Source organism: Homo sapiens, chromosome 16 (genome assembly GCF_000001405.40).
Source record: "Homo sapiens chromosome 16, GRCh38.p14 Primary Assembly".
Lineage (NCBI taxonomy): Eukaryota > Metazoa > Chordata > Mammalia > Primates > Hominidae > Homo > Homo sapiens.
The window spans coordinates 15007668-15023167 of NC_000016.10; the positions used below are offsets into that span (position 1 = coordinate 15007668).

Consider the following 15500-nt stretch of genomic DNA (forward strand, 5'->3'; position numbering starts at 1 on the left):
GAGCTGTGATCACTGGTGTTAAGAAATTATGTCCTCTTCTTGAGGGGTGTACAAAATGGGGAGTTTAATAATAATCCTCTGAAACGTGAAATGAATTACTTAGTGTCTACTGCAAGCCAGGCTCTTGCAGACACAAGGCTGTTTGGGGACAACAGTCTAACCTTCAAAAGATGTGTAAGAGTGTTCTGTTGGGAATGGCAGCTGGCAGAGCAGCATATATAAGATGGTTATGTTCACGTTTTTTAAAGTGTGTGTATCCTTTATACCTATGTTTTTGTACCTAGAAAAATACGTAAATTTATACCTAGAAAATATCTGAAAGGTTATGTATTAAACTGTTAACGGGGTGGATTGGTGGCTTATAGGGTAGGGGGCTAGGCATTTTCACTTTTAATACCTGTATTTTTTTTGAGGATTTGTTTTACTTGGGTGTCACATTCATAATTTTTAATCCTTTAAGGAGAAAAATGTGCTTATTAAATTTTTGGTCTCTGAATGCTACCAAGTCTTAGTCATACAGAACAATATGCTGCAACTGTTTACAATTCCTAAAACTGTAAACTCCTCAAGGACTTGGAGGCTAAACATGAAGAATATAAAATTAAGTTGACAATCACTGTCTCCTGCATAACACTGACTTCACTTCTCTTGAGAAATGTGCATCTGCTAATCCATATTTATTACTTTTTAGGGGTGGGTGAACCCATAAATAAGATACTGTTCTTTGAATGCCTTTAGCTGGTGTTATTTACCAGTAATGCTTGGAGAAAGAATCCAAAATTACCCCCACTAAAATGCTCACGACCCAGTTGTTTCTGTGTTTGTCAAAGTGTTTCTGGTATATTCTAGAATATACCAAAGATAATTACTTGAATCATTTAGAAAATTTTACATTATATCCTCTTATAAGGCACTTGGAAATTCACCCTTTTTTTTTTTTCGGCTTGGCTTTCTAAATGTACTTTAACATCAATTTATAATATTAAGAGTTCCTAAGGAGAGAGATTTCTTAGAAGAATAATCGTGTCTTGTCTTAGAGCCACAGCCTTTCACAATCTGAAGTGAATGGTGCAGAGAGCTTTCTTGTCAAGTCATATGTTTCTTCCTGCAGCTCGGCTTGCCCTTCCCCTGCTTGTGCCGTGTACCCTGTAACACTGTGTTTGGATCCCAGCATCAGATGGTGAGTTCTACTTTTGGTTTGTAAAATCATGTGGGATTGTGTTTTGAAACTGCCTTTCAAATGAAGTTCTTTTTGCTGGCCTCCAGATAATTAGTAACTTACTCATGTATTGCTTGGATCCTTACATTGTGTAATATATGCTTCTGTTAATATGTGAATGTCCATGAAGGTTGGTTGGTATATAGGTCAGGAGCACCTGGCTTTTAAGGAGTCTTGTAATTACTGTATCACCTGCTTTAAGTAGAAACATGGCAGCTCAATTAAGCACCAGAAATTTCTTCTGAAGCTCCTACTTTTAATGAGTTAGCACTGTTGCCTGGATTTATGAATGGGCAGATTTTGAAAATGAGGTTCTTCATTGTCATCATGGAATTGAGTTCTGCTTATTTTCAGACATGCAGGTGATAAATCTCTCCTTAATGATTCCAGAAGGAAAAGGAAGGGATGGATTTTAGAGTTTTTTATTTCTTTTGTCAAGGTAGTTTTATTTTCTAGTTCAGGTACATCAGTGAGTAATAGTAGAGATACATTCTTGGCTGTTTTAGGAGAGTTAAGAGAACATTTCATTTAAATGTAAATGTTTAAAATCAAAGAAATGTTCCTGCATATGTACAGTTTTTACCTTTAATTTTGTTTAACTGATTTTTCTAGTCTTCAAGGAAAACTATTTGATTTTCACATCTATGATGAGAGAAAACAGAAAAATTGTCAAGAGTAAGAATTGATTTGACATTACTTTTGAGAGTTATCTGCTTCTTTTGTAAGTCATAATTTTTCATTTTATAGCTTTTATACTGGGCACCTCATTTTTTAATGATTTGTTTTGGTTCCAGGATGTTGCCTTCCTGGAGAAACTGATTAAAGATGATATAGAGCGAGGAAGACTGCCCCTGTTGCTTGTCGCAAATGCAGGTAGGTAGCATGATGCTGAATCTACCATTTTGAATATATAGGAGCGAGGCTACGTCCTCAGCCTATAAAAGATAAAGTCTTAAGAAATGTGTGTGTACCACATGTTTAAGATAGTCCATATCCACATTGTAGCAAAAACTGTAATAGTAAGGTTGGCTCGTTAGATTTTTCTTTAATCGTTGGTTTGTTTTGGAAGTTATTTTATGTGTGTGTATACTTTTTCATTTAGATGGTAAATGCTTCTCTATCTTCTCCTTCATGTACTTCTTTTCCCTGTTCTAAACTGAATTTTATTTTATTTTTTTGAGATAGAGTCTCACTCTGTTGCCCAGGCTGGAGTGCAGTAGCACAATCTCACCTCACTGCAATCTCTGCCTCCCGGGTTCAAGTGTTTCTCCTGCCTCAACCTCCTGAATTGCTGGGATTACAGGTGCATGCCACCACATCTGGCTAATTTCTTGTATTTTTAGTAGAGACAGGGTTTCACTATGTTGGCCAGGCTGGTCTCGAACTCCTGACCTCAGGTGATCCGCCTGCCTCAGCCTCCCAAATTGCTGGGATTACAGGCATGAGCCACTGTGCCTGGCCTGAATTTTTAAATGACACATTTAAGCCAGGTGTGGTGGCACATGCCTATAGTCCCTCTACTCAGGAGACAAGCAAGATGTTGGCTTAAGCTCAGAAGTTCAATACCAGTCTGGGTAACATAGCAAGACCCCATCTCAATAAATAAATAAAAATAATTGTACTGACGTTGTAAGATTGTTGTAAAAATTAAACAAGAAAATTCATAAGATGTCACACTTAAATATCTACCTTATAGGCGGCAGAGCAACTACCACTTGCTGCTCCATTTATCTCATTCAGCATCATACTTGAAATCTAAGACAGTGCAATAAGGCAAAAAAAATAACTGACAGATTAGAAAGGAAGAAATAAAACTTTGTTTGCAGGCATGATTGTATAGATAGAAAACTAAAGAAAAGCTACTGGAACTAATGATCAAATCTAAACCATTTTCTGGATTTTTACATACTAGCAAAGAAGAATTGGAAATTGAATTTTAAATGTCATTTATAATAGGATCAAAAAAGATGAAAAATTTATGGATAAATTTAACAAAATATATGCAAGATCTGTACATTGAGAACTAAGAATGTTACTGAGAGAAATTCAAGAAGACCCAAGAACGATATGCCATACACACGGGTTGGAAGACTAAGTATTAAGTCAGTTCTTCCCAAACTAATCTGTAGATTCAACTTGATCCATCTTAAAATCTCAGCAGGCTACAATTTCTTAATAGAACTTGATGAGCTAATTCTAAAGTTTATATAGAAATACAAGGGATCTAGGAACAGCCCAAGGGATTTTGAAAAAGAACAAAATTGGAAGACTTACCTTGTCATACTTCAAGACTTCTGTAAAGTAGCAAGTAAGACTGTGTGAGATTAACCAAAGAAAATAGAGAATTCAGAAATAGACTCATGTGAAGTATATGGACACTTCAGGTTTTTACAGATGCCTGAGTAATTCGAGGGAGAAAGGACCATCTTTTTCCATCAGTGGTCTTAGAGCTTGGATATCCATATGGAAAAAAACTGAATCTTAACCCTTATCTTATTCTCTGTATATATAAATATTAACTATAAATGGTTCATCAACCTAAGCATAGATCTAAGACAATAAAATGTCTCAAAGAAAATACAGGAGATCTTTGTGACCTTAGGTTACATTTCTTAGGATACAAAATATGTGAACCATAAATTGTACTTTATCAAAAATTAAAAGCATTAGCTGTTTGAAAGCCCCTATTAAGAAGATGAAAGGCAAGTTACAGACTGGGAGAAATATTTGCAAAACATTTTTTTCTTTTTTTTTTTTTTTTTTTGTCTTTTTCTATTTTTATTTTTTATGTTTTTGAGATGGAGTTTTGCTGTGCTGCCCAGGCTGGAGTGCAGTGGTGCGACCTTGGCTCACTGCAACCTCCGCCTCCCAGGTTCAAGCGATTCGCCTGCCTCAGCCTCCCGAGTAGCTGGGATTACAGGCGCACGCCACCGTGCCGGGCTAATTTTTGTATTTTTAGTAGAGACGAGATTTCGCCATGTTGGCCAGGCTGGTCTCAAACTCCTGACCTCAGGTGGTCCACCTGCCTTGGCCTCCCAAAGTGATGGGATTACAGGCGTGAGCCGCCACACTCAGCCAGCCACTGTCCCAGTCCTGTCTTCTTTTAAAATTTCTTTTTCATTCTTTTCCCCAGAAGCTACAAAACATTTGTTTGACAAAGAACTTGTATCTAAAATATATAAAGAACTGTTACAACTCAATAAGGACACAAGCAATACAATTTTTTTTTTTTTTGGAGATGGAGTCTCATTCTGTTGCCCAGACTAGAGTGCAGTGGTGCGATCTTGGCTCACTGCAACCTCTGCCTCCCGGGTTCCAGTGATTCTTCTGCCTTAGCCTCCCGAGTACCTGGGATTACAGGCATGTGCCACCACACCTAGCTAGTTTTTTGTATTTTTAGTGGAGATGGAGTTTCACCGTGTTGGCCAGGCTGGTCTTGAACTCCTGACCTTAGGTGATCTGCCTGCCTTGGCCTCCCAAAGTGCTGGGATTACAGGTGTGAGCCACTGTGCCCGGCCCACAATACAATTTTTTAAATGAACAACAGATTTGAGCAGATACTTCATCAAAGAAAATGAAAATGTATAGCACTTGAAAAGATGTTTAACATCATTAGTCATTAGTGAAATGCAAATTAAGATCACCATGAGACATTACTACATGTCTGTTAGAATGGAGAAATTACAGGTGGCTCACACTTGTAATCCCAACACTTGGGAAGGCTGAGACTGCGAGATCAATTGCCCTCAGGTGTTCGAGACCAGCCTGGGCAACATGGCGAAACCCCTAGGAAATCTCTACAAAAAATACTAAACATTAGCCAGGTGTGGTGGTGTGTACCTGTAGTCCCAGCTACTCCAGAGGCTTTGGTGGGAGGTTGGCTTGAACCCAGGAGAGAGAGGTTGCAGTGAGCCAAGATTGTGCTACCATACCCCAGCCTGGGTGACAGAGCCAGATCCTTTCTTAAAAAAAAAAAAAAAAAATTCTTTAAAATATAATGTCAGGCCAGGCACAGTGACTCAAGCCTGTAATCCCAGCACTTTGGGAGGCCGAGGCGGGCAGATTACGAGGTCAGGAGATCAAGACATCCTGGCTAACATGGTGAAACCCCGTTTCCACTAAAAATACAAAAAAATAGCTGGGTGTGGTGGTGGGCACCTGTAGTCCTAGCTACTTGGGAGGCCGAGGCAGGAGAATGGCATGAACTCGGGAGGCAGAGGTTGCAGTGAGGTGAGATCGCACCACTGCACTCCAGCCTTGGTGACAGAGTGAGACTCTGTTTCTGTAAAAAATAAATAAGTAAATAAATAAAACTTGCCAGGTGTGGTGGTGGGCACCTGTAGTCCCAGCTACTTGAGAGGCTGAGGCAGGAGAATGGCTTGAACCCGGGAGGCGGAGCTTGCAATGAGCCGAGATTGTGCTACTGCACTTCAGCCTGGGCGACAGAGTGAGACCCTATCTCAAAAAAAAAAGAAAAAAAAAAAAAAAGGCAAAAAACTACAGTGACAGAAGCAGATCAGGATTTTCCAGGGCCAGTGAGGAGTCAGGGAAAGGGTAATTATATTGGGGTTGATGGGATTTGGGGGTTGATGGAAGTATTCTGAATCTTGATTGTGTTGATGGTTACATGCTCTATATATTTGTCAAAACTCATTGGACCGTATACTTACATGAGTGAGTTTTGTTGCATGTAAATCATACTACAATAGGCCGAGCATGAGAGCTCATGCCTGTAGTCCCAGCACTTTGGGAGGCTGAGGCAGGCAGATCACAAGGTCAGGAGTTCAAGACCAGCCTGACCAATGTGGTAAAACCCCATCTCTACTAAAAATGCAAAAATTAGCCAGGTGTGGTGGTGTGCACCTGTAGTCCCAGCTACTTGGGAGGCTGAGGCAGGAAAATCGCTTGAACCTGGGAGGTGGAGGTTGCAGTGAGCCAAGATCGCACCACCGCACTGTAGCCTGGGCGACAGAAAGGGTCTCTGTCTCAAAAAAAAAAAAAAAAAAAAAAATCATACTACAATAAAACTGCTTATTTAGGCCGGGTGCGGTGGCTCATGCATGTAATTCCAGCACTTTGAGAGGCCAAGGCGGGAAGATCACCTGAGGTCAGGAGTTCAAGACCAGCCTGGCCAAAATGGCGAAACCCTGTCTCTACTAAAAATATAAAAATTAGCTGGTTGTGGTGGCAGGCACCTGTAATCCCAGCTACTTAGGAGGCCGAGGCAGGAGAATAGCTTGAACCCAGGAGGCTGAGATTGCAGTGAGCCGAGATTGCGCTGCTGCACTCCGGCCTGGGCAACAGGGTGAGACTCTGTCTCAAAAAAAAAAAAAAAAGACAAAATAGAAAAACCACATAAATATTCACTTTATTGCCAACAGGAAAACCATCACTTCCTGCCTTATTGTTTAAAAACACAAATTCACCCATATTCAATCACATGATAAACTGGAGGGGCTGCAGTTTGCATGTGACTGAGTGACTTGCCAGTGTGATTATGTTGCAGATGTCAGCAGACACATGTCAAGGGTTAGTCACCAGACATTGCCAAGAAATACGAAAAGAGAATCTGCATGCGATCCAGGCACTAACACAGCAGTACGCTTTTATTTTGCTGGAAGAGCCTGTGGCACAGCCCATGCATTGACATTTGATCTTGTTTCAGCTAAACTAAATGTGTCTGTTAAGATTTTTTTTTTTTAATTTGAGGTAGATTTAGGTATGAGGGGAAAAAGTTTTCAGCCCTTTTCCTGGCATAGACCTTACAAAAGAACTACTTTCTTTAGCTGTGTTTGTTGAGGCCGTTGGTGAGTGTTTGAAATCTTTTTAGTTGGCTTACTGCTAACTGGAAATTTAGGACGGTTGGGGGAATGCCTGACTCAACGTTTTAACTAAGCTCTCTCTGAAAAGGGATCTCCCCAGCAAAATCTGTAGTGCAATCAATTACCAAGGGAGCGGCTGAAAGTGCTTAATATGCTTAAGCTGGCTTCAGAATGCATGTTCTGTATTACAAGGAACCTGGGTGGAAACAAAACAAATTCATCTATATGTTTTGTTTGTTTGTTTTTTGAGCTGGAGTCTTGCTTTGTTGCCCAGGCTGGAGTGCAGTGGCACGATCTCGGCTCACTACAAGCTCTGCCTCCCAGGTTCACGCCATTCTCCCGCCTCGGCCCCGCGAGTACCTGGGACTATAGGCGCCCACCACTACACCCGGCTAATTTTGTTTTTGTATTTTTAGTAGAGACGGGATTTCACCGTGTTAGCCAGGATGGTCTCCATCTCCTGACCTTGTGATCCACCCGCCTGGGCCTCCCAGAGTGCTGGGATTACAGATGTGAGCCACTGTGCCCAGCCCACCTATATGATTTTTATAAAGGGCATATCTAAATCAAAATAATCCAGGAAGTGACAATAAAATAAAAAGGTGGAAAAGTTTATCTTGGACAAATGCTGACAAAATGAAAGTACCATAGCCATATTAGTGTGGGATAAAATAGACTTCATATTGATGAAAGATGTAATCTCCTAAAAGAAATAACAGTTATACCTGCTGGGCACGGTGGCTCATGCTTATAATCCCAGCACTTTGGAAGGCCGAGGCAGGTGGATCACGAGGTCAGGAGTTCGAGACCAGCCTGGCCAACGTAGTGAAACCCCGTCTCTACTAAAAATACAAAAAAATTAGCCGGGCGTGGTGGCCACCGCCTGTAATCCCACCTACTTGGGAGGCTGAGGCAAGGAGAATTGCTTGAACCTGGGAGGTGGAGGTTGCAGAGTTGAGATCATGCCACTGCACTCTAGCCTGGGCGACAGTGTGAGACTCCGTCTCAAAAAAAAAAAAAAACAGTTATGAATGCTTGTGAACATAACTTTAAAATATATAAAGGAAAGCTAAAGGAAAAGTCTGATGTAACACAAGTATATATTGACAAACCACAATCTTGGTGGGAGATTTGAATATATTTCTCATGAGTCAGCAGATCAAGTAGATAGAAAATAAGTATATAAAAGAATTCAATGACACAATTAGATACATGTAATAGAGATTACATACTCTTCAAAGCTTGTAATAAGTCAACTCACAAACACTGATTTTAAGTCCTTCCACAAAGAAAATCTCAATAAAATAGGGATATAATAAGTCACTTCCCTCCTAGGGCGATAATGTGTATAAAAGTGTTTAAGGTATAAAGCCTTAGAAAACATTTGTTCCTTTTAATGCCCTGATGTGTTTTATCCTAGGAACGGCAGCAGTAGGACACACAGACAAGATTGGGAGATTGAAAGAACTCTGTGAGCAGTATGGCATATGGCTTCATGTGGAGGGGTAAGCCGGCGGTGAGGCTGGTGGCTCCATTCGGGCCTGCACAGAGTCCTTATGAGGACTGGACATCCAGGCTCTCACTTTGGTGACATTTATCACGAAGGGCTCTTTGGGTCACAGATCACAAAATAACCCAAATTGGCTTAAGCCCAAAGAGATCTTACTGGCTCACATAACTACAAAGAGCAGTGTTATGACTGCCTCAGGCACGACATCAACCAGGATCCAGTGTGTTACTCCCACCTCTGCTCCCCCAGTCACAGGCACTGGGCTTGGTTTCCTCTATCTGTGGACAGATCTTCCTGTTACAGTGCAAAGTAGCTGCAGAAACTCCAGCCTTCTTTCCAGCTTCGTGGTCAGCTGGAAGTCCTAACAGAAGTCTCGTATTGAACCAGCCACTGTGGCCAGGGAGAAGTAATCCTCTGATAGTTGAGGTTCTTTGCTCTCCTCTGGAGCAGATAGTGGTGTCTCCTCCCCACAAAGCTCATGTTCTGCTGGAAGAAATGGAGATGGCGCCCTGGAAGGCTATTGTAGGGCCATTAAGAGAAGCAGGGGGAACGGACGTGGGCAGCCAGAGTAGCCCATATCCACCACATCATACAGGGAGGTTTCTTTTTGATCCCTAAGTAAAGAATGATAACTGGAAAATAAGATCCATGAAAGAGAAGAATACTCCCATTATATTAAATGAGCGGGGATAGTTCCTGAGACACATTTTTATTAAAGTGCATTTTCAGGATTTTCCTTCATATGTATAAAGCACACCTTCTGTTGCTGTTAATGAAAGCTAATAACATTAAAAATATACTTAAGTGTCAACTTGCAACAGCACAGCCTTTATTTTTTTAAGTACATGGTGAGTAAGCAACATTAAATAATTAGTTCTTGGACTGGTGTTTTTTCTTCCAGTGTGAATCTGGCAACATTGGCTCTGGGTTATGTCTCCTCATCAGTGCTGGTATGTTGTTGATTTACTGAATATTGGTGTTTTTAAGAATGAATTTAAAGTCACTCAGTCCCTCATGGCTCTTCACAGTTTTTATGAATGGAGGAGGGTGTTAGGTTTGTGTATTCTGATAATCTAACAAAGAGTTGTTCTTGTTTTGGTAGGCTGCAGCCAAATGTGATAGCATGACGATGACTCCTGGCCCGTGGCTGGGTTTGCCAGCTGTTCCTGCGGTGACACTGTATAAACACGATGACCCTGCCTTGGTAAGTTTCCACTCACTGGGGAGGGAGTGGGTGTGGCTAATACACATTATTGGCTTTGGGGGCAAAATCCAGAAAAATACAGGAAAAAGTGAAAAATACCCATAATTTCACTTCTATTTCATTTTTTTAAAGAGAAACTTGTGAGACTTTTTTTAATGACATTTTATGATTGTATAATATTCTGTCACAATTTAATTATTCTCCATTTATGAACTTATAGGATGTTTTCAGAGTTTTGTTACTGAAATAATGAAGCAGTGAACGTCTTTCTGTGTTTCTAATTATTTCCTTAGAATAGGTTCCCAGATGTGGAATGACTGAGTGGGGGAGTTTTAAGCCTCCTGATCCACATTGCCCAATAGGTTTTAACTTTTTTTTTTTTTTTTTGATATGGAGTCTCGCTCTGTCACCCAGGCTGGAGTGCAATGGTGAGATGATCTTGGCTCACTGCAACCTCCACCTCCTGGGTTCAAGTGATTCTCTTGCCTCAGCCTCCCAAGTAGCTGGGATTACAGGCATGCGCCACCACGCCCGGCTTATTTTGTATTTTTAGTAGAGGCAGTGTTTCACCAAGTTGGTCATGTTGAACTCGCGATCTCAGGTGATCTGCCTGCCTCGGCCTCCCAAAGTGCTGGGATTACAGGCATGAGCCATCACACCTGGCCACATTTTTTTTTTTTTTTAATCGTAGTTGTGGGCCAGGCATGGTGGCTCATGCCTGTAATCCCAGCACTTTGGAAGGTTGAGGCAGGCAGATCGCTTGAGCCTAGGAGTTTGAGACCAGCCTGGGCAACATGGTGAAACCTCATCTCTATAAGAAAAAACAACAACAAAGAATTAGCTGGGCATGGTGGTGTGAGCCTGTAGTCCCAGCTACTCATGAGGCTAATGTGGGAGGGCTGATTGAGCCCTGGAGATCAAGGCTGCAGTGAGCTATGATCACACCACTGCACTGCAGCCTGGGCGACAGAATGAAAACGAAACCTGTCACAAAAAATAATAATAATAATGTGGTTCTTGATAATATAGGTCAGCGTGCAAAATAAGGTTTAAGTGATTTCTGCTAAAACACTGCTGTCTTGCTCAGCTAATAATGGCCAGGTGTTTGAGGATGCTCAGAGCTACCTTCGAAGTGGGGAGTCTCCTAGGTTCTGGGATGTGACCCATCTGGGTTTTCCACTGGCTTTTCCTGGCTTTGCCACTCCTGAGCTGTGAACCCTTGGACAAACCGAGGTCTCTGAGTGAAGTTACCTAGAATACTTAGCTCACAGAGTTGTTGGAAGATCACATGGATAATGCAAGCCTAGTGACTAGTATGGCATCTAGCCCACACTAAGTGGGTAGCAAATGGTAGCTGGTTAGTTCTATTATGAGATTGCAATGGCTTTGATTAATAAACCTCTTTTGGCTTTTTTAGACTTTAGTTGCTGGTCTTACATCAAATAAGCCCACAGACAAACTCCGTGCCCTGCCTCTGTGGTTATCTTTACAATACTTGGGACTTGATGGGTTTGTGGAGAGGATCAAGCATGCCTGTCAACTGGTGAGTAGAAGCCTGACATTTAAATGAAAGACTCCTTGGCCACAGCAGAGACAGAAAAACATCTCATTTCTGTACCTTCCATCCAGAGTGGTGTTGTCTGGATTGACTGTCTCGTGAGCCAGAGACTAATCGCCCTGCATGTAAATATTTCTTGTTCAAAGTTCTGGGAGAAAGTGCTGGGTTGTCTGTCCCAGCATTTGTGTGCAGATGAAATCAGATGAAAAGGAACACCACTGTCAGCATGGGATCAGAAAAGAAGTCACAGATGACTTCCAAGGAGTGGAGAAGGGTGCAAAAGGTGGAGGGGTGGGGAGCGAGTGTTCCCCTTGATTGACTGACTACGGTGAGGGAATAGGAAGGTTACAAGGTGGTTATGGAGGGCATGGATATTTTATAAACCAGCTGGCTTGGGTTTCCAAATTGCAGGGCTCTTGGGGACAATTCTAATTCTCTCTCCATTTTAGGTGTGTTCTAATTGTGAAAAATATATAATTATGCTATATTTCAGTGTTTTAGAGCATTCAGGCTTCTATAACAAAATACCTTAGAGTGGGTAATTTATAAACAACAGACATTTATTGCTTACAGTTCTGGACGTGAGAAGTCTCAGATCAAGGTGCCAGGAGATTCCATGTCGGGCCCGTTCCTCATAGATAGTGCCTTGCATGTGGCCTCACATGGCAGAAGGGGTGAGCACAGTCCCTTGAGCCTCTTTCAGAAGGTCACTAGTCCTGTTTGTGAGGGTTCCATCCTCATGCCCTAATGACCTCCCAAAGGCCTCAACTCATTTGCGATTAGGTTTCCACATAGGAATTTTGTGGGGACATAAATATTCAGATCATAGCATTTAGAAAGCAAAAAAACAGGCTGGGCATGGTGGCTCACGCCTGTAATTCCAGCACTTTGGGAGGCTGAAGCGGGTGGATCACAAGGTCATGAGATCAAGACCATCCTGGCTAACACGGTGAAACCCCGTCTCTACTAAAAATACAAAAAATTAGCTGGGCGTGGTGGCGGGCGCCTGTAGTCCCAGCTGCTCAGGAGGCTGAGGCCGGAGAATGGTGTGAACCCGGGAGGCAGAGCTTGCAGTGAGCCGAGATCGCGCCACTGCACTCCAGCCTGGGTGACAGAGCGAGGCTCCGTCTCAAAAAAAAAAAAAAAAAAAAAAAAAAAAGCCAAAAAACAGGGTCATGTTTACTCAGGGTTAGAGCTGAGCCCTCCCTAAGCTCAGAAGTGCGTCACCTCCATTTTCTTACCTGTGAAATATAAATTATATGACAAGGATTGCCAGGATGGCTCGAGGAACGAATACAGGTAGAGCTCTTGCAGTAGTGTCTGTTCATATAGTAAGTTATGCACGTGGGTTGAAATCTTTGTTTTAAATATATTCTTGGGGAGTTAGCACTTCCTCAAGTATCATTTCTATATTTAAGAAACATAGGTGGCCGGGTGCAGTGGCTCACGCCTGTAATCCCAGCACTTTGGGAGGCCGAGGTGGGCAGATCATGAGGTCAGGAGATCAAGACCATCCTGGCTAACACGGTGAAACCCTGTCTCTAATAAAAATACAAAAATTAGCCAGGCATGGTGGCGGGTGCCTGTAGTCCCAGCTACTTGGGAGGCTGAGGCAGGAGAATGGCGTGAACCCAGAAGGCGGAGCTTGCAGTGAGCCGAGATTGCGCCACTGCACTCCAGCCAGAGCGAAACTCAGTCTTTTAAAAAAAGAAAGAAAAATAGGCCGGGCGTGGTGGCTCATGCCTGTAATCCCAGCACTTTGGGAGGCCGAGGCGGGTGGATCACCTGAGGTCAGGAGTTTGAGACCGGCCTGGCCAACATGGTGAGACTCCGTCTCTATTAAATATACAAAAATTAGCCAGGTATGGTGGCAGGCGCCTGTAGTCCCAGCTACTCAGGAGGCTGAGGCAGGGAGAATTGCTTGAACTTGGGAGGCAGAGGTTGCAGTAAGCCAAGATCGTGCCACTGCACTCCAGCCTGGGTGGCACCATCTAAACACACACACACACACACACACACACACACACACACGAAAAGTATTTGCGTAGTGCTCTAGCAGTAGTCCCTTCGTTCATCATATGTTAGGATAGTTCAACAGTTTTAAGTATGCTCTGGGCTGGGTGCAGTGGCTCATGCCTATAATCCCAGCACTTTGGGAGGCCAAGGCAGGTGGATCACTTAAACCTCAGAGTTCAACACCAGCCTGGGCAATGTGGTCAAACCCTGTCTCTACAAAAAATACAAAAATTAGCCAGGTGTAGTGGCACACACCTGTGATCCCAGCTACTCAGGAGGCTGAGGTGGGAAGATCACTTGAGCCCAGGAGGTCAAGGTTGCCGTGAGCCCAAATAGCACTACTGCACTACTCCACTCCAGCCTGGGCGACAGAGTAGGACCCTGTCTCAAAAAAAAAAAAGAAAAAAAGATTGATGCTCATTATGTTTACAAAAGCACTGCATTTTTTGAAAAGTGTCTCACTGTGCTATTAGCTCACTTCTTGAGATGTGGTTCTTAGGAAAGAGAAGCCTTAGTAACTTAGTTTAGAGACGACTTGGGCACTCGGGAGATTTTTTCAATATCCCGTGGCTATGGAGTGCGGGAGAATGATGCCATTAACTACCAGACCCTTGAGGTCAGCACAGCTCTGGCATCTTCCTGCAGGCAGAACCGTATACTCCTGAGGATTTGAATGCTGTCCTGCTGCTGACTCACAGGCTAATAAATGCATGTGTTAAATTACTTGGACATTTAGCAGACATGGTGATCTGTATATAGCCATGCCTTATAGTCCACAGTGGAGCATACATTTCCTGAGAGCGTAAATCAGCATTCGCCTCCTCATCCTCCTCTTCCTTCTCTTCTCCCTCTCTTCTTTCTCGTCTTCAGTAGTTATTGAGCATTCACCTCAGTGTCAGGCACCATGAAGTACTTTCATGCATCATCTCATTTGATCCCTGCAACTTCACTAGAATGTCAGTTCCACTGATGACAGTGTATTCAGAATTAATTTTCTTTAAGAAAACAAAAAGGAATTTCTTGAGGGGCTTTCTACTGTCCAGTACTCAGTGAATATCTGTTGAATTAATATACTCCAATCCCATGAGTTAGATATGATTAGTGATGAGGGACCTGGGATTGAGACATTAGTCTAATGACACTACATTCTAGACCCTGTTTCTAAGCACTTCCTGTATTGCATATCAACTCATTTAATCCTCACAGCAATGTGAGATACATACTATCCTCCCCATTTTATAATTGAGGGAACTGAAGCATAGACAGGTTACATAGCTGGTGACTGGCAGATGAATTGACTTATCCGTGGTCCTGCAGGTGATGAGTGGCAGCACTGTGCTCTTATCACCAGCTCTTGAGCGTGCTGCATCCTCTCATTTGTCGTTGGTCTCCCCTAGTGTTCAGTACTGTGCCTTGCACGTGTTTATACTCAGTAGCTTTTGAATGACAGACTTACATTGCAAATACAACAGATTTCCATGTCTTATTAGAAACTGCTTTTCTTGAATTACTACATGTAACTTGAAGGATTGGTGAATATTTACAGTTGTTGAAATACAAAAACAGGTGGCTGAACTTAGAAACCACCAAGTGGCAGGTGACTTTGCCTGACATCCGTGTTCACAGACCTCCACAGCCCCTGGTGAAAACCACTTCTTCATGTCCCACGTCCATCTAATTACATGTGTTATTTTTTGTCATTTGCAGAGTCAACGGTTGCAGGAAAGTTTGAAGAAAGTGAATTACATCAAAATCTTGGTATAGTATATAAGTTCATCTGTTTTCAAAATATAACTTTTTTTGAACCTCAGCAACTTTGAATGATTTTAGAACTTTAGAATGATTTTCTCCACATTTCAGTGGAATTGTGGCAGCTCCAGTAAAAAAACAAAACAAAAAAACGAAACAAAAAACAAAAACAAAAAAACCTGCTTATATTTATACAGTGAGTCTGAAGCGAAGAAATTTGAACCATACAATGTTTAATTCCTATGGTGCTTTTCATGTACTTCATTTATTGTGTTAAAGTTCAGAATTGCACAAAGATAAACACCATTGACTTCAGCTGCCCAAGGCCTTGGGCACACTCTTCTTCCCAAAATGAAAAGTCACTTTGTGCCTCAGAATGCTTTGGGGTTCTCTTTCTGCAACCTTCTGCCATCAGTTTTCAT

General features: G+C 42.2%; 1 protein-coding gene and 1 non-coding gene across 24 annotated transcripts in view, besides 3 other annotated features; one reads left to right on the plus strand and one right to left on the minus strand.

Annotated features, from left to right (window-relative positions):
- Positions 1-15500, plus strand: part of PDXDC1 (pyridoxal dependent decarboxylase domain containing 1) — a 178484-nt gene that overhangs the window by 32933 nt on the left and 130051 nt on the right. For 22 of the 23 annotated variants that reach the window (XM_024450194.2, XM_017023065.2, XM_047433790.1 and 19 more), the window contains 7 exons: positions 1112-1180; positions 2014-2092; positions 8462-8546; positions 9453-9501; positions 9654-9755; positions 11173-11298; positions 15037-15087. In XM_024450194.2, coding sequence (XP_024305962.1) covers positions 1112-1180; positions 2014-2092; positions 8462-8546; positions 9453-9501; positions 9654-9755; positions 11173-11298; positions 15037-15087 — 561 coding nt within the window. The remainder of the gene's footprint in view (positions 1-1111; positions 1181-2013; positions 2093-8461; positions 8547-9452; positions 9502-9653; positions 9756-11172; positions 11299-15036; positions 15088-15500) is intronic. The other variant, NM_001285450.2, reaches the window with a different exon arrangement.
- On the minus strand, positions 2654-2730 carry MIR1972-1 (microRNA 1972-1). Its single transcript, NR_036054.1, has one exon. It is a non-coding gene; the product is annotated as a microRNA 1972-1 (primary transcript).
- Positions 5343-5448: a silencer, noted in NCBI's record as "fragment chr16:15106867-15106972 (GRCh37/hg19 assembly coordinates)". NCBI's record gives its function as "represses an EF-1alpha promoter that drives an FKBP-Casp9 reporter gene in an ReSE screen in HepG2 liver carcinoma cells {active_cell/tissue: HepG2}" and the evidence as "EXISTENCE:reporter gene assay evidence [ECO:0000049][PMID:32094911]".
- Positions 8239-8740: an enhancer, noted in NCBI's record as "H3K27ac hESC enhancer chr16:15109763-15110264 (GRCh37/hg19 assembly coordinates)". NCBI's record gives its function as "activates a minimal SCP1, AML or CMV promoter by ChIP-STARR-seq in primed H9 embryonic stem cells {active_cell/tissue: H9 hESC(primed)}" and the evidence as "EXISTENCE:reporter gene assay evidence [ECO:0000049][PMID:30033119]".
- Positions 8741-9240: an enhancer, noted in NCBI's record as "H3K27ac hESC enhancer chr16:15110265-15110764 (GRCh37/hg19 assembly coordinates)". NCBI's record gives its function as "activates a minimal SCP1, AML or CMV promoter by ChIP-STARR-seq in naive H9 embryonic stem cells {active_cell/tissue: H9 hESC(naive)}" and the evidence as "EXISTENCE:reporter gene assay evidence [ECO:0000049][PMID:30033119]".